General features: G+C 46.5%; 1 protein-coding gene across 50 annotated transcripts in view, besides 3 other annotated features; it reads right to left on the bottom strand.

The window, feature by feature from the left end:
- The window catches only part of ZNF618 (zinc finger protein 618), a 180,285-nt gene that overhangs the window by 80,705 nt on the left and 81,024 nt on the right, over positions 1-18,556 (bottom strand). For all 50 annotated transcript variants that reach the window (XM_005251692.4, XM_017014242.3, XM_017014241.3 and 47 more), the window contains exon 2: positions 6,729-6,772. In XM_005251692.4, coding sequence (XP_005251749.1) covers positions 6,729-6,772 — 44 coding nt within the window. The remainder of the gene's footprint in view (positions 1-6,728; positions 6,773-18,556) is intronic.
- Positions 10,356-11,733: an enhancer, noted in NCBI's record as "VISTA enhancer hs641". NCBI's record gives its function as "enhancer in: forebrain[8/11] | limb[5/11] | other[8/11]" and the evidence as "EXISTENCE:transgenic organism evidence [ECO:0001131][PMID:17130149]".
- Positions 10,356-11,872: a biological region, named in NCBI's record as "VISTA enhancer hs641".
- Positions 11,372-11,872: an enhancer, noted in NCBI's record as "H3K4me1 hESC enhancer chr9:116726297-116726797 (GRCh37/hg19 assembly coordinates)". NCBI's record gives its function as "activates a minimal SCP1, AML or CMV promoter by ChIP-STARR-seq in primed H9 embryonic stem cells {active_cell/tissue: H9 hESC(primed)}" and the evidence as "EXISTENCE:reporter gene assay evidence [ECO:0000049][PMID:30033119]".

Genomic DNA, 18,556 nt, shown 5'->3' with positions numbered 1-18,556 from the left:
ATTTCTAGAAATGAAATCTGAACTCCAGTAACAGGAACATAAATCTAGAGTCAAGATGAAGATACCTCCCAAAACATACCCCGTTCTCAAATAATTCACTCTGCTAATACCATACTGTTCATTGACTAGCACTGGGCTGGCTACAGGTTGAATACTCCTCATCTGAAACACTCAGGGCCAGAAGTATCTGGATTTTTAATTTATTTTTTTCAGTTTTTGGAATATTTCCACTACATGTGCCAGTTCAACATCCCTAATCCAAAACCCAGAAATCTGAAATGCTCCAATAAGCATTTCCTTTGAGCATCATGTTGGTGCTCAAAAAGTTTTGGATTTTGGAGCATTTTGGATTTCTGGATTAGGAATACTCAATCTGTATTGCTGTGAAATTTTGTGCAAAGGAAATTGCGTTGTTTAGGGCTACTTTTATTTTGCTGCTGAAAACCAAAATGGTAAACAAGAAGAAGATATAAATAATTATGCAGCCACACACATGTGGTTATCAGATAAAATGGTCCACCCGTGAAAAATCTTGGCTTAATTAAAGAACAAGACTTAGCTACATTGAAAGCCATTTTACCATCTGGGTGACTCCATATAAGTCTATTCCTCAATTCCCTCTGAACATGAGGGATGCCAATCACTATCTGAAAGGGCTGCTGGGAAGATCAAATAAGACACAAGACACATATTTGGATCATGGTAGGCCTTCAACAAATAAGAGCTCCATCACCGTCATCCCTCCCTCCAGCCCTCTCTCCAATGTCCAGGCTCTACAAGGAATCAATTGCCACCCCATGTTATCTCCTCCTAGGAACCAGAATCCACCATGGTAGTAATAAAAATAAATGTTTACTGAGCACCTGCTTTGAACTAGGAATTGTGCTAAGGGTATATATATTATTACACCTAATCGTCATTGACAACACTATGAAGGAGGTACTAATATAATCCCCAGTTTACAGATGAGGAAGCCAAAATGCAGGAAGGCTAGGTAAGGAGCCCAGGGTCACACAATCAGGCAATGGGCAGGGCCAGAATCTGAATCCAGGCAGTCTGGGCTCTTCCATTCTGCACTAGGCTGCTTGGCCCTTAGCAGGGCTGGAGAGGTGGTGAGGAAGATGCCTGACAGACCAGGCAGGGGGTGCAGGGGGGCATGGAGAATGGGGACCACAGGAGTACAGCTGCTCCACTCTGGGGCCATCCAAGAAACACACAGGAGGCTGTGCATTTTTGGATGCAGGCTACACATAATCCTTTGCTGAACTGAAGTCCTCAGGCCTGAAAAAAAAAATAGCCCTTAAGAAACTCAGCTCTAAGCCTACTGTGTAAGGTCCTGTCTGTCCTGAACCCTTGGCAACACCTATCATCACATCTCATCCTCCTGGCAGCCAGAATGATCCTTTTAAAACCAAATCATATTATGCCACTTCTCTGTTCAAACTCCCCAGTGGCTCCTGATCTCACGCAGAGGAATGGCCAAAGTCCTGACAACGGTCTCCAAGGGCCTCCGTGGCCACACCGGCCTCCTTGCTGCTACTCCAGCTCCAGGGCCTTTGCACCTGTTGTTCTCTCTGCCTGGAATGCACTTCTCCCAAATGACTGCCTGCTTCGGCCCCCACAACTCTTTCAGATCCTTCTTCATGACTCACCTTCCCTGAATGCTCAAATTAGAGAGGCAACACTGTCTCCGGCTCTCCCAATCTCTTCTGCTTTCCCCACCCCCAACACTTGTTACTATCTAACAAGCATATATTTTATGTATTTATTACAGCTGCTCTACTCCCACTACAACATCAGCTCTACAAGGGCAGGGATTCCTGTCTGTTTCATTCACTGCTGTGCCTCCAGCACCCAGGTCAGTGCCAAGCACTTAGCAGGCACTCAGTAAATATTTGTGGAATGCATGGATGAGATTTGATTTTTTCTTATTCTCCTCCCCAATCTCCTTGTCTACAAGATCCTGTTCACTTGTTGGGCAACCTATAACAAAATAATGAGCCCTTTAACCTCTTCTACCCCAGATTTCCTTATCTCTAAAATGAAAGGGCTGGACTAGATTTTCTACAGTCCTTCCAGCTCTGAAAATCCTCAGCTGACAAAAGAAAAATAGATATATTTACATACAATTATTTATTACACCAAGTCTGTAACTGCATTTACTTGATTACAAAAACTGCATTTCCTTCAGAATTTTCCAAACTTAAGGCCCCACAGCCTCCCTGACCCTTAGAATAAGTGGGGTTTGGCTGGAGTTATGCTACATGATTTGTAACCTGCACACCAGATCGACATTAACCTCAAGTGCTGGGATCACTGGTCTTGTAAAATCGACCCAGTTTGGGTTACAGGGAAGTAAACCAAACCACATTCGGTTGTTTCTTAAGATCAGAAACACAACCTCTCCTTGTCCCCCTCAATTTAACACTAATTCCGTAGCAGCCCATGCTGTTGATTTTGGGGTTTAGCCAGAGGCCCTCTGGAGAAATAACATTATGTGTTCCAGGCCAAGAGGAAGGCGCTGGGATGAAAGCGGACCCTGGCGTAGTAGCAGAGTGTGCCATAGCATAGCTGGGGGTAGAAGCCCACGTTGGAGGGCTGGGGGTCCTTCAAGGTCATTCTGCTCAGAGCCGTCTAATCTAATTCTGACTTTGGGGAACTTCAGGCCCTTCATTTCTCCATCTGAAGAAGGATTAAATGAGCTCTAATGCTCTACAAAGTGTCTACCCATCTAAATCCCACCTGGCCGTGGTCAAATCACCAGTGGTGTCAGCTAAGGCCACCACACTGACAATGTTCTCTCTTTTTTTTTGAGACAGAGTCTTACTCTATTGTCCAGGCTGGAGTGCAGTGGCATGATCTTGGCTCACTGCAACCCTGCAACCTCCACCTCCTGGGTTCAAGTGATTCTCCCGCCTCAGCCTCCTGAGTAGCTGGGATTACAGGTGTGTGCCACCATACCTGGCTAATTTTTGTATTTTTTAAGTTGAGACAGGGTTTCGCCATGTTGGCCAGGCTGGTCTCAAACTCCTGACCTCAAGTGATCCGCCCGCCTCGGCCTCCCAAAGTACTGGGGTTACAGGGGTGAGCCACCGCACTGGGCCCAACAACATTCTCTTGACGTTTAACATATAATTCACTTCTCAGACTGAACATCAAGTCACTATGTAAGTAATAGTGTGTTGGTCTTTCAAAGGATTAGTTTTCCTCACAGAGTCTATAAACTTGCCTGTGAGCTCCTCCAGAGTCCCACCTTCTTGATAGGCCTCCAGCCTACAGCACAGTCCCTGGTCCCAAACAGGCTCCTGTAACACGTGTTAACTGATCCCTTCCCACCAAGAAGCAGGAGGGCGTGGTGAGTAAGTGCATCACAGAAGTCAGACTCAGGTAGACTTCCTGGCTCTACTGCCTACCTCCACCTAGGCAGCCTTGGGCCAGTAAACCTCTCTGTGCCTCAGCTTTCTCATCTGTAAAGTGGGAATAATAAGAGTATCTCTCTCATGAGGTTGTTAAAAAGATTACATTAAATTAATAAATAAAGGGTGGGCATGGTGGCTCCTATCTGTAATCCCAGCACTTTGGGAGGCCAAGATGGGTGCATCACTAGAACTCAGGAGTTTGAGACCAGCCTGGGCAACACAGTGAAACCCCAGCTCTACAAAAAGATGCAAAAATTAGCCAGGGGTAGTGCTGCATGCCTGTAGTCCCAGCTACTTGGGAGGCTGAGATGGAAGGATTGCTTGAGCCCAAGAGGTAGAGGATGCAGTGAGCAGAGATTGCACCACTGCACTCCAGCCTGAGCAACAGAATGAGACCCTGTCTCCAAGAAAAGAAAAATTAATAAATTAATACACATAAATCACTTGGCTCAGAGCCTGACAAAGAAATGTTGACCAAATGGTAGTCTTTACTATTAGAAAGTCTGTTTTTACACCTTAAGCCACACACAACCCCAGGTTTGGGTGGCCCTTCCTGATGCATATTCCGGCGCCATGGTAGTAACACAGGGGCTCAGTCACTGAGTATGTGTGATGAAGAGCCTAGGCTAGCAGGGAGAACAAATCAATGTCTCACGTGCCACCCTACCCCTCCTCTGACTGGGCAGGCATCTCCAATCAATCTCAGCATTCTTCCACCAACTACAGCCTTAGGGGGATAATACTCAATTCAGAGATTCAGGCAGCCACCGTGGGAAAACCTGCCTGTTCTTCTCTGGCTACAATTACCAGGCAGAGATACTCGTGTAGGAGAGATTCATGCATTAGAGAGTGAGGGCAGACCGCATTCCCACAGGACTGACGAGGGGTGGGTGGTGCTTTGTCTCTTCATTCACGAAGTACTTCGAACAGTGCCTGCCATGCAGGAGACACTAGAATGTCTGGCTGGGTGAATAAATTAGCACCTAACCAGCCTGAGTTCACAGCATACAGCACTGGGCCTACCAGAGCAGGTGCTTAGTGAAAGTGGGAGGAAAGTGGGAGAGGCTGGCTAGACCCTCACTTGGGCATAGCACTGAGGAGTGGAGAAAGCACCAGCTTTGGCAGGTTCAAGGCCCAACACAGCCACTGACTCATTATACGCCCCTAAGCAGGGCCTTTCCTCCCAAAGGCCTCGATCTCCCCATTGCACAATGACAGGGTGGTCTAGACAAACTTAATGCCCCTTTCAGTCCTGATTTCCTGATCCAAGAAACACTTCCAGGCACCGGTCTGACAACTGCTACTGCCCCGCAGGCCACAACCTCACACATTGTTCTTACACAAATTCCACTCCTAGGGACCCAGGAGAGAAACACAAAACGCTGGGCAGCTGCTGGCTACTTGGGTCACCCCCAATGACCACAGGCCTAAGTGCACCGTCTCTGAGCTCTACCTGCTCCTCTCCCACACTCCCTGTCTCCACATCACTGGCACATCTTCTTCCATCTCATCTAGTGTGCCCATCCCATAAACACGTACTGAGAGCCTGCTAGGGGCCAGGCCCACAGCAGTGAACAAGACAGACATGTTCTCTGCCAATGGAGCTGGCATTCTCAGAGAGACAGAAAAAAAGGAACACAGGGAAGGGAATGAAATAACGAATAATGAAAATGAAATAATTAAAGAGCATAAACAGGCTATGAAGGCCACACACCACATACTGGGGTGCAGGTACCTTGATACGGAGGGTCAGGGAAAGCTTCCCTGAGGGTAGAACTGACTCCAGATCTGAAAGATGAAAGGGCATTCATCATGGGAAGATCAGAGAAAGAACATTCCAGACACAGGGAACAGCAGTTGCAGAAGCTCTCAGGTAGGGGTCAGTTTAGACTAGGGGTTGACAAACTATGGCCATTTATGGGCAAATTTAGGTATCACCATGGCTACTTCAGCATTATACTGGCAGAGTTGAGAAACTGCCACAAAGATCATACAGCCTGCAAAGTGTAAAATATTTGCCACACAATACAGGTCTCTGGGTTACAGAGACCTCCGGCCTGGTATAATGGCCTCTATTCTACTAGCCTCCAATCCACCCAACAAATGGCTGCCAGGGTGGTATTCCTGAAACACTAAGCCGAACACATTACTCTCCTGCTCAGAGAATGTCAATATCTTTCCATGGTTTCTCAAAGTATGTTCCAAGGAACACTTGCTCAATGCAATGAACGTCAAAAAAAAAGGGGTCCCATAGTTAAGAAGTTTGAGAAACATGATTCTCTCTCTCTCTCTCTGGCTCTCTCTTCTCAAGCACACACATTAGCATATTAAAAGATCTGGAAAGTCTCACAGCAAATAAACCTTTTTAATTTTGTTTAACCCACTGTCCTCTAACTTACTGGGCCACAGAAAGAACCTTTTTTTCCTCACACAAAAAAAATCCATTAACATTTTAAAGAACTAGTGTTCCACAGGCTAACAGGCAAATTCTTCTGCTTGGCATTCACAATCTGACCCTCAGCTCTAACAGGTAACCCTAGGATCGATTCTAGATTTTATGTATGTGTTCAGGGGAGCCATCTCTCTTGTCTGTCCCTTACCTTCTTTCTGCCTCCAAAGCCCCAAATACAGGTCATGTGGCCGTTCCAGCCTTGCTCTACCCAACGTAACAGCAGCAACAGCAGCGGCAGCATGGGTGTTAACATTACCAAGTACCTACCTGTGACACCTGTCATGATGTCCACAGCTTGGGCCTGTCTGATATCTCTCCCTTCTTTGGTAAAAACAGTCCAGTTCTCTATTGGGGACCACCCCTCTCCCCTCTCCTGCCATCCTTGAGGGTGAGGAAAGGCCGCCCCCTCTCCACCCTGGCTAATCAGAGTATCCCATCCCCTGCTTTGGCATGACTGGTGAAGAGAGAGGAGCACATGACACTAGCACATAGGCCAATGGATTCTGGACAAGGATGGGACTGGCTGCCCCAGGAGTTAGCCATGCAGCAGCCCAGATGGAATTCCAGCCCAGGTCTTTCTGCCTAGTCTTATGCTTCACTCCTAAGTTCTCAACTTGAGTGGCCAATGGCCAGTTCAGGAATGAACCATCCTTGGATTCTGGTCACAGGTAGCCACATGGAAAATGCTTTCTATGACCTCACATTCTTTGGGGAAGTCTGGATACTTCTTGCCAAGGAGGGCTGGCCTGGACCACCCATCCTTCCAGGGGGAAGATGAGGACCAGAGAGTGGTAACTGTTAGTCATGAAGACCTGAGTCGATGGGTGGACAAGCTGGGGGCGGGAGAGGGAGTGTACCTGCTCGCAGTGCTTTTCCTTCCGGCTGCACTGGCTCCGTCAGCCTGCAAAAGAAACCCAAAACACCTACATCAGCCAAGGCAGAAGATGCAGATTTGACCTGCTGCCACCCCATCAAGCTCCCACTGAATACCAGCCTTCACACTGTGGGGTGAGCTGGCCACAAGCCCCTGTCCCGCTCCTCCAGGCTGGACAAACTTGTGCCCAGTGGTAAGAGGGAGTCAGAACACCTCCCTGCAACCCCATTTGCTTGGCCCTTTAAATCCCACTGAGCACCCACTGCCAACACAAACTCAGCAACTGCACTGCCCTGGGGACTCAGTGAAAAGTAAGTAACCAGCTAAATCTGAGATTGAATTGCACCATTTTTATTTTCAGCTGGGATTTCCAATAAAACAGTAGCTGTAGATTTATTCCTACCAACCAGAGGGAAAAAATCCTATTATGTTAAAATATTCTTTCTCCCAACCCTATGAGCAGAAGGCAAGAGAGTGCCAGTTCTTAATCTCTTTTATTTGGGTGTGGGGGGAGGGGGACATAAAGCTGATCAAATGAAATTTTCAGAAATCATACAATTCTGATTCAGATGCAGAGACTGGGGCCTTGGGCACAGAGGGAGCTACCTGAAGTCTCATGAAAACAAACTCCAGGGGTCCTGACTCCTAGACCAGTGCTCAGGGGGACCTCAATGCAGAGGCTGACAGAGGTTGCAGACCTGGGAACAATACCTAGATCTTCACTACCGCCAGCTGAAGATACATTCCCGAGCTTTGTCAAAACACTTCTAATAAGAATCATAGGATAATACAGGTCTGAAATTCAGGTGCATATGTGTTTCCAAATTCAGAATTTTTCCAATTTTAGAAAGGTAATGTACCGCCCTATGTCTTATATTTTGAAACAACCCTGGCAGAGCCCCCGCTAATCAAACACATTGATATTTCTATTGTAAAACATATGCATAGGTAACCCTACATAGGATAAACGTCAACAAAACAACAATGAGGACTGTCACTAGCCTTTTCTCCCTTCAGGTCAAGTTCTGCTGCCTCATCAGTTATAAAAACTTTTTGAGTTTTTTTGAATTTCAGGATTGCGGATGAAGGACTGAGGACCTGAAATAAAACACCTTTTGATGAGTGCTTACGAGAAGTTGCAAACTGGCAAAATCAGATGGCGGACTTCGATTCAAACAAATCGGCAATGTATAAAAATAAAAGAATTGCACTGAAAAAAGGCGAGATCTCCACCTTCTCTTATTAAACTGGATAACCCCATGATACCTAGTCCTACATGGTGACAGGCAGCTAGAGCTGACATACTTGGCTCTCCACAGCCTCCATCCTCCACTCTTGCCTTATAATCACCCAGCCCGTCTGGTCCCAGCGGGCATCCACACTTGCTCCCCAGGGAGAACTTCCCATTAGGCGCTAGGATGTGGACATTAATGCCTTCTCTCATTTAATCCTCACCATAGGTCCTCCCCCCTCCACCCCATAATATCCCCACTTTACAGGCAAGAACACAGGTCAAAGAATGTATTTATCAAAAGTCCCACAGCTATAAGCTCAGGTCTGGGTCACTCCAAAGTCCAACATCCTCAGTTCTGGAGCATTTTACTTCCCACCGACATTCAGGAGAGCCAATTGGGAAATGGGGTGACATCAAACAGCTCCTGTTTCCCACACAAGGGAAAGGGCAAGGTTAAGGACGAATAGGGAGGGAGAAATGTGAGGTCGGGGAGGAAGAAATTAATGAGCTGCCCATGTATTATTTCAACAGAAGAAACAAGAAAGCAGAAAATGGTTTGCATATCATTTCACTGGGAGCAAAAGAACAGATCAATTACAGCCTCTTTCCAACATCTTGCATTCCTCAAAACTTGTATGCAAAGCAAACAGGCTGAATTTGTTTGAATGTTTGTATCATAAGCAGCAGAAGTGGTACGGGTGGAAATTCTGCCCCAGAGATCTTAAAAAAATGGTTAACTCCCAAATGGATCTCTCGCCTTTCAGACTTAATTCTGTGCGTGTATTTTTAGCTTGTCACACACACTTTTAAAGTTGTCATTTTTGTCCTTTTCCTTCACAATTTCACACAGAGTTGACCAGCTCAAGTGCAGCAAACACGTGACAGAGTGTGGGATAAGAGTCTCTGTTTTCAGCATGCCTAATAATCTCCACCTTTGTTTCTCTTTTATTGAGTGAATGATACTTCAGCTTCGTGTTACTGGTAGCTGCATGCATTTCTGTTTTCCACCCATTTTCATAAAACAAAGAGAAAGTGCTAAAAATATTCAAAGAATTGTCAAATACTTTTGCAGAGACTCAGGTGGTGCTGCTGGGAAACTGGGGCAACTAGAGGAGAGTTCTACCTGGGCAGGGTGTGGGATGTTCAGATGGTGGCAGATGAGAGTTGCTTCATTGGAATATGGATGGACAATGGATTCAGTGGGAGATGTCCAAGACACATGTGTCAGTATCACAGCACCTGGCAATCACAGCGTGTGGGCCTGGCCGAGTCCAGCTACACCATGACGACAGAGCCAAAGTCCACTGTGTTGGGAACACCAACTCCCAGGGTGGAGTTCCATACACGCCAGGCCGGTGTGGTCTGTCCTTACAAATACATCACAGCCATTCCTTCCAAGTGGATTAAGCTGAACCTCTGACATTGCCATGTGCTGAGGCCAAAATGTTCTAACACCAGCAGTTTCATATGATTCAACCTAAACAGCAAACTCATCTGTACCCTGTGCAAACTGACCTGAGTCTCAATTTGAACCGAAGCTTAAGAGAACAGAGTTTAGAGTTAGAACATCGGAGTTCAAGGCCTGGTTTTGCCGTTTTCTAGCTCTGCGATCTTCAGCAAGTCACACGTATTTCCAAGGCCTCGATTTCTCCCTCTGCAAAATGGCAAGATGCTCATCACAGGACCTACTTCACGGGACTGGCTTGGGACTTGAGATAGCTTAAATAAGGTAAAACATGTAATAGCATGTAAAAGTACTTAGTGAGTGCTTGGCTATAATAATGAAAATAATCACTGACAACCCTATAGTTATAGAGGCCACTATTTATTGGGTCTAGGAAACTGAGGCACAGAAAAACAGAATGATATGTATAAGATGAACGAGTCGCAGAGCCAGCCTGGGGTGGACCATGGGTCTTCTGCCTCAAGGCCTTCCCCGAATCCCAAGCTGCAAGTCGGCATCTCATGAGTGGCCACCAGACCACACAGCCCGAAGGCCTTCTCCAACGGTGCAGCCAGAATGACAGTAATGTCACTAAAGTACTAAGCGCAGCCCTGGTATACATAGTCATTACTCAGGTAATGGAAACTCCCACTGCAGCTGCTGTTGTTCCACCATCTTCCGCCACTGGACTGTGTGCTCCTTAAGGATGTAGCTTGTTTCCCTGGCTCTGAGTCTCATTTTGAACCTCAGACAAGCTCGTTCCTTTCTCTGCACCTGAGATTCTCCATAGGTAAAAAATGGGGGCGGAGAAGGAGGTTAAATCAGGTCATCTCCCCCACTCCATGTGGAGTTGACCCAACCTTAAAACCAGACTCCTCTATGACAAATAAAATAAGGAGGACCCCAGTGAGATCCTCCTTCTCACTCTCGTAAAGCTGGGGTGAAGGTGTATCTAAGCCCTCCAGCCCCGAATAAGGGTGCCTGTCCCCTCTTCCCAGCCCCACCCATTCCTTATTCACCAGTTTCCCCTCAGGACCTGGGCAAGGCTATTTTTGGTTTCATTCGACCCTCCTCTTCCCTCCCAAATGAATGTGAAGTTGTTCTTTTCCATTCTCTTATTAAGGGTTTTCTTGGAAAGAAAATATTATTCCAAACCCAGAAATTTTATTTCTAAATTTGTGCAAATGTAAGTTGTAAGACATTAGCTGCATTTCACATTTTGTGCAAATGGCAGAAACAGGCAATTCGTGTGCTCCAGGATGGGGGCTGGCCAACGATTTCGATAAAATAAACCCTTTTTTAATTTAAATGCTAATGCACTGAATTAAAATTTAATAACTGAGGAAATTGAAAAGCCGAGCAGGAATATTGGAAATAAATCCAAGCAGAAACAGCTGAAATTAAAAATTCTAGAGAGTGGGAGGATAGCAGCTAAGCTGTCTTATATGATTACATTTTTTTTTTTTTCAGAATGAAGCAAAAAAAAAAAAAAATCCTATCTCTCGCTGGCTCTAGGGCAGTAAATCCACAGTGCTGTGATTTATTGCTCAATTTTCCTGAGGGAAAAAGGCTTTCTTTCATGCTGAAATATTTCATAAATTTCAAGCCAGCATAAATTCTTAATTTAAAAGTTATGGAGGTCACATTTAGTGCACTGGTACGGTTCCAAAATCTTAAAGGAATAGCAGCAACCAAAAAAAAAAAAAAAAAAAAAAGCAGAAAGGAGGGGTAGAATTTGCTCTTTTCTTTTTTTCCTTTTTTTCATTTTGGTTTTAATTCTCACAAGTTGAAATTTCATTATTAAAGATTCCTCCTGGATGGATAGAACCCAAGCACGTGGGGAACCGCTGTGTGTTTGGAAAAACCTGCTGCAAAAGATGAAGAGATAAAGATTTAATTCAATTATAAAATGGCATTTTTTTTTTTAAGCCACTTGAGGAATTTCTGGTAAAAATTTCCTCCCTTCATTGCCCGGGAAGCGGTGAGGGTGGGGGAGGGTGGCCAATGTAATTGCTTCTCTTAGATCTCCAATCTTTTGTGCTCACTGATATATTCATTTGTTATACAGCTGTTCAGCGGCGGAAAGAATGCTGGGGCGCCCATAATTCTAAGCAAATCAATCAAAAATTAATGATTTGTCATGCTTGCACAATGGAGGAAAAACAGCTCCTTAGGTCCTGGCTGCCTGATCTCGAAGAATGAAATGCCTTTCTTCGATAAGAGAACCGAGCCTGAGGCTCGGGGAGGCTGAGGTGCTGCCACAAATGTGGGGGCCTCACAGTCCCCCTAGCTCTGTGAGGTTAGAAGGGGGCCGCCATCTTGGAGGGGGCATTTCCAAGATGGCGCCTCAGCTAGCCAAGCTCAAGATGGACCTGGCGCAGCACATTTTCACAGTGCTATAATTAGGATTTTGCCTTTTCCTCCCCCACCGCAACTCAAAAATTACTTGGTCTCTAGAGAATTGAATGGCTCCCTCCTCCCCCAGCTAGATTTAATTTGTCCCTGTTCATTGTTTTCCCAACACTGCTGACACGCAGACATCAACCAACTCTACGGGACTGGGACTGGGGCTGCAGTTCCTGAAGCGTCTGTCACCCCCCAGGGTGTGTGCTGCCCCTCCTCCAAAGGCCACATCCCACACATGACCATGTCACCAGCACCCAGCTCAGGGCCTGGCACAGGGCAAATACTCGGCAAATATAGTTGAATCTGTTAATTATGATTGTTTCTCAAAAAAATACTGACAATGAGGTTGCTTAGATGAATGGTGCATTGGCAATCATGCTTGAATGAAATATATCAATTGACCTCAAATAATTAATCATTCCTTTATTCACTCAGCAGATAGTTCTTGGAAACCTACTATGTGGCAAGTACTCTGCTGGGCTCTGGGTGGATGACGTCAAATCCACTAGGGGACAATTTTGAATGCCCAGTGGTCAGTATTTTTCAGGCTTCTCTGCACCCTTATGGAAGGGAAGCATGAACATGAACCCAGAGAGAAATGGGAGTTTCTCTGCATGCTCAAATGCCCTTTGAAGTCTTGTAGCTTACTAATTCTTACCAATACATTTGAATATTACATTCAAACTACCAAATACATACGACACCATAATACATATTTCATATATTTTTATATGTTAGTACAAACATCAACATTGTTTTAAACGACCAGCTGGTACAATTAACCTTGCAGGAAGATATGTGACCTCGGCAGTGGGTGCAACCAAGTGCATTTAACCTGGAGGCCTGCAGGGGGCACTGCGCTTGCAAGAAGCACCCACCAACCCAGGACCTGCCCAGAGGATGATTCTATGTCCCCTAATATTTAGAGGACAGTTGGTCTGAAACAACTCAAGCTTTATTTATATATCTATTTCCTTTCCAAAAGCCAGTGAATCCCCAAAACTTAACATGTAACTTTCTGTCTCCTCCACTGAGGCACAAGACTCAAATAAGGAAAATTCACTCATTCATCCAACAAACATTTATCAAGCTCCTTCTACATGCCAGACATCATTTTAGGCAGTTGGGATATATCTATACCCTTGTGGCAATTACATTCAAGTGGGGGGAGACGCTAACATTAGGCGTAATAAATAAGTAAAACATATAGCATGCTTGAAAGTAATCAGTTCTATGGTGTGTGGGGGAGGCGGGGGAGTCATGAACAGGGAAGGATAGGGTGGTCAGGAATGCTGGGGACAAGGGAGGAGCCACAGGCTGCAATTTTAAGTAGGGTAGTTGGGTAGGCATCATTGGGTGAACACTGTAAGAGGGTGAGAGAGTTGGCCATGTGGTGTCTGGGGCAAAGTGGATGCCAGTGCAAATGACCCCAGGACAGGAGCATGCCTGGTGTGCTTGGCAAACAGCAAGAATGTCAGGATACCTGGGGCAGAGTACATGAGGACAAGAGGAGGAGAGATCATGGGAGGTCAGCTCATGCAGAGCCTTGCAGGCCACCGAAGAGCCTTGGCTTCTACTCTGGAAAGCCACTAGAAGGTTTTGGCAAAGTGACATACTTTGACTTACATTTTAGAAAGATCACTCTGGTTGCTGTGTTGAAAGGAGACCATGAGGCCAGGGGGGAAACAGAAGGCTGGCAGGGCTACGGAGCAGTCCAGGGAAAAGATGATGGTGGCAGGGACTGAAGAGGGTGAGGAAAGGTTGAGTTCTGAATATACTGGTTGGTGCTGGTAAATTAGATGTGGGGTATGACATAAAGAAAGAGTCAAGGAAGATTCCAAAAATCATGGGCCTTAGCACCAAGAAAAATGGAGTTGCATCTCTCCCACACATGAGAATACTAACCATCAGCACAGTACTTTACAGATAAGTTACGCCGAATGAGATCCTCCCAGTAACCCTGCAGGGAAAACACTGTGGTTTAAATATCCCTCTTTGACCAAGAATTAACCAAGCACGTGGAGGGGCTAAGTGACTTATCCAAGGTCATACCACCGCCAGTGGCTTGGCCAAGGTTCACACATCTTCTCACCCCAAGTCCACAGCCATTTCCTCTATATATTTGGCCCTTCCCCTATGGAACCAATGGATAAAACTTAGCCCCAAACCATATGGATGAACTGTTTTTCTGTCTAGCTACAGAGCTCCAACTCAGGCACAGGCAGCTCCAGCATTTATTCACCAGGTGTCCCTAAAAAATGCCATTTAAAAGTGCCAGGGCCAATGCTGAAAAAGTTATAAAGAGCTTTGCAAGTTACAAAGAGGATTCTGTTCCTGGAAACCAAATATATGATAAATTCTCTAATTAGTCCTTGCCTCTTAGATCACATTCAGTGGTATGTATCTAACACATTGTACTTGGTTTTTGTGTTTTCTTTCCCAACTGAACACGGTAACTCAAAGCCACTGACTGCCCTAGGTTCCACGCTTGAGGAGTGGCAAGAGGCTGCCAGAGAAGACCCTGGCCTGAAAGAGCTGGAACTCACATGAGTTTGTGCCATTTTTCCATAAATATTTATGAAGTTCCTATTAGATGTTTGATTCTGGGCAAGGCCTTGGCCGGTGGAGGATACGAAGATGAATCAGACCTGGTTCCTTATTCATTCGCCCAAATACCACTATGTATTATGATGTAAATGCCTACTATGGGCTGGGAACTAAAATAATTACTGGGGACACAACAGCAACAAGAACAGTGAAGGGGACAGGCATTGATGACTTAATGGCTTCAATCAATCAGTTTATAATTACCACCTGAGATACGTGCTCTGAAGGGAAAAGTCTGGGTTCCGTCAGCATCTTTGACAAGAGGATCCAACAGACTTCAGGGTCAGGAAGAGCTTCTATGAAGAGGGATACTGGAATAGGAAGCACAGAGCTCACACTCGACAGGGGGAATAAAACTGTAGATGCAGGTAAAGCTAACACAGGCTGGATGGCAGGGAGCGACATGCACCTCGTGCAGGGCAGTGAAGAAAAGGGCACCACCTTGCCCAGCTGGGAAACCAAGGCCCGTGAACTTCGCTGGGTTGTAGCCTTCTCTGAAGGCTTCACCAATGAAGGAAGGGCCCAACCCACCCAACATGCACAGGCTCACACAAGGAGTTCCTGACTAGACCCCAAGGCCAGAGCCCACGCCTCCCTCTGGACTTGGTAGCTTCCAGCTCTGAAGGGGAAGGAACAATGGTTTGATCTTTCCCCTTTTCATTTGCTGCAGAGTGGCCACAATGCTCCATGGAACAGAAATGTGAAGACCGTCCCCAAACCAGGTCTAGGCATCTTCTCCGCAGGAGGCCCCAGAGACATTGTGATTGACTGGCCAAGTTTCCAACTACAAGGGAAAGCCAGGGAAAATGACCACTTTCTTTACGCCTCTCAGTTATGATACCTTTTATGTCTTTCTCAAGCCCTGGCTCTCTGAGGTCCAGTGTTAAAACATAAATCATTCCTGTCTGGAATGGAACCAGTGTGGGTCTTGTCTGCTTCTTGTGAGTTTCCAGGTACAGGTGGATTCTTCTCTCTCTGATAGGCAGCCATGCAGATTGGATCCAGACCCTAATACAGTCTTCATCATCATCATCGTTGTCTTTGACATCACTGTCAACAGTCAGGAATGAGTAAGTCCTGTAAGTCAGGCTAAGGGAGCTGGAAGCTTATGGACAGACTTGGAAGGCATATGCACCCCAAAAGCAATTGCGAGCTGCAGTATGCAGACTGGAGGTGGTAGCCAGCACAGAGAGCCCACTGTCCCCTTCCAGGGAAGAGATGATGGCGGTTTGGGGAAGGTGGTGGAGGAGAGAAAGCTGCAGGACTGAGAGCTACTGGGAGCAGCACAGATCAACTGAGATAATGTGAGGAAAACACCCAGCAAGACGCCGGCACATATTAGTTGCTCTGTGAACACAGATTTTTGTTGCTGTTGTTGTTTAAATAAACTGCAGCAGCTGTTGAGAAACCTCTGCCAGTCTTAGATTATGTGCAGAGGGCCTCGTTTCCTTCATGCACAGACCTGGGCCCCTGGGAGAGATGGAAGAATAGAAGAATTCACCTCCAAACCTGAGGCCTGAGTCACGACGTTTAAAGGAGAAGGGGGCCGGGCGTGGTGGCTCACGCCTGTAATCCCAGCACTTTGGGAGGCCGAGGCGGGTGGATCACCTGAGGTCAGGAGGTCGAGACCAGCCTGGCCAACATGGCGAAACGCTGTCTCTACTAAAAATACAAAAAATTAGCCAGGCATGGTGGTGGACTCCTGTAATCCCAGCTACTCAGGAAGCTGAGGCAGGAGAATCGCTTGAACTTGGGAGGCGGAGGTTGCAGTGAGCTGAGATCGTGTCACTGCACTCCAACTTGGGCAACGAGAGCAAAACTTCATCTCAAAATAAATAAAAATAAAAAAATAAAGGAAAAGGGGGAAATCCGCAGAGAGGTAAAGGCAGCAGCCTCCCCTGCAGGGCTATGTGGGACTCACCACCCAAGGCACAGTTTCGTTTCCATCCCAGGGTACCAGGTGCCACCACGGCTGGGGCCCTCAGTCTGCACATGAGTCCAACACGTACTATAACAGTTTCTGGTGGATTAATGTGTGTTCATTCTATTCCCCCAGCTGGGCAGGATCAGAAAGTGTTCTAAATGTTGTTTCAAAGAGTGAGGTTTTTCTTAGATCTGGCCCAGTGAGGTGTTGTTTTTATTTTTTAAAACACTTTTTTTTTTTTGAGACAGAGTTTCACTCTTGTTGCCCAGGCTGGAGTGCAATGGCGCAATCTCGGCTCACCGCAACCTCCACCTCCCAGGTTCAAGCAATTCCTGCCTCAGCCTCCTGAGTAGCTTGGATTACAGGCATGCGCCACGACGCCCGGCTAATTTTGTATTTTTAGTAGAGACGAGGTTTCACCATGTTGGTCAGGCTGGTCTCGAACTCCCGATCTCAGGTGATCGGCCTGCCTCGGCCTCCCAAAGTGCTGGGATTTACAGGCATGAGCCACCGCGCCCGGCCTAAAACACTTTTTATGTTGAAGAAATTTCACATTTACAAAAGAGTTTCTCAGGGATAGCAGGGAGCTCCCATATATCCTTCACCTGCCATCAGGGGCTCCAGGCAGGGCAGTAACATGGTCAGAATTCTGTCCTCCGATGGGCTGCTGGTTAGGGCAATGACAGACACCAAGACCAGTTGGGGGTAGATGTCAAAGTCCAGGGAGGGTTGGCTGAGGTCTGAGCTAAGGCAAGGCGAAGCCTGGTCTCCCTCCCAGGGACCAGCAAGCAAAATGCCCCCAGGCTCCAGCAGTACACCAGGAAGAAAGAAGCCAGCAGCAACAACAGGGTAGTGTTTACGGGAATCAGCCTGGGCACAAACGTGTGAATGGGACGCTGGATGCATCATGATCTCTCAGTGCCTCCGTTCCTTTATCTGTAAAATGGGGAGATCCCACTGCCCACCTCACAGAGCCATTGTGAGGATTAAATGAGCTAGTTGTGCTTGGAACAGGGTCTTTCCATCTATGTAGTGCCAGCTAGTATCATCAACTCAACATAAAGGGCTTCAAATGAAGGTAATCCTAGCAATCTAGAAGTGGCCAGCATCCACTGGGCACCTCCCGTGTGCCAGCCCTGGCTCAGGGTACAGCATGCATCATTTCATTTAATGTTCTCAACTACCATAAGAGGTGGGGATGTCACCAGTCCCCATGTGCAGGGGAGGACTTAGAGGCATGCTGGGTCCAGGGACCAGCTGGGAAAGACTCAGCCAGGACTCCAACCCAGATACTCCGAGTCCAAATCCACATTTTCAAATCCTATGCCATCCTGCCTCCAAGGCTGGTGGGGTGACCTTGGAGAGAGTGACTTGCCCCCTTGTCTTTCAGCATGGACACGCTCCTCTGGGTGCATAAATGCTGCTCTGCTTGTTTTCTTTTTTAAAAAGAAATGAATCTCAGTTCTTTCCAGTCACAGTTAATCTCTCAATTTACAAAAGAGTGAGTCATGTGACTGAATTCCACAAAAATTCTCTCTCCAGGTTTATGATTTTACAGAAAACTCTAGGGAAAACCGCCTGGAGCGAGTTAAAACCAGATCAGCCATAAACCATGTCCTGGTACAGCCTCACCAAGCTGAGACTCAGATTACTCATTAAATATGTGATAAATATTCACTTCAGATCAGCAGGAAGTGGGGGTTGGGGGTAAAAAAAAAAAAAAGGAAACTTTTGCTTCATGGAGAGAAAAACCTATTATAAATACAAAGGGTTGCAAACTCCAAATTAGGTGAACCCAGAATTCAGGGACAAGGCTTTAAGTCACCCCCTTAGGTATTTCTATGTATGGCAGTAGGGGAAGAGGCTGTCCTCAAATCTCTTCTAGTGAACCGAAGGCTTCAGCCTCCTTTGATATGGCCAGGGTAATGCTGGCATGTCTGGCATGTCTGGACGGCCTCACCAGGGAGGAGGAACTTTATACTCTAGGAGACCCCTGTTAGCACCAGGTCCTCCTCTGACTTGCTCGAGAGGCAGTCTCTGGCCCTCAGACTACCCATCTGTTCAATGAGGTTGCTGGACTGATGGCCTCTCAGAAACATTCCAACTCTGACATCTGGAGTCAGTCAGGCCTGAGTTCAAATTCTGCCTGGGCTACTTAGTAGCTCGATACATCCTGTCTCTCAGCCTTAGTTTCCT

This window comes from Homo sapiens, chromosome 9 (genome assembly GCF_000001405.40).
Source record: "Homo sapiens chromosome 9, GRCh38.p14 Primary Assembly".
Classification (NCBI taxonomy): domain Eukaryota; kingdom Metazoa; phylum Chordata; class Mammalia; order Primates; family Hominidae; genus Homo; species Homo sapiens.
This window is presented reverse-complemented; position numbering and strand designations above follow the sequence as displayed.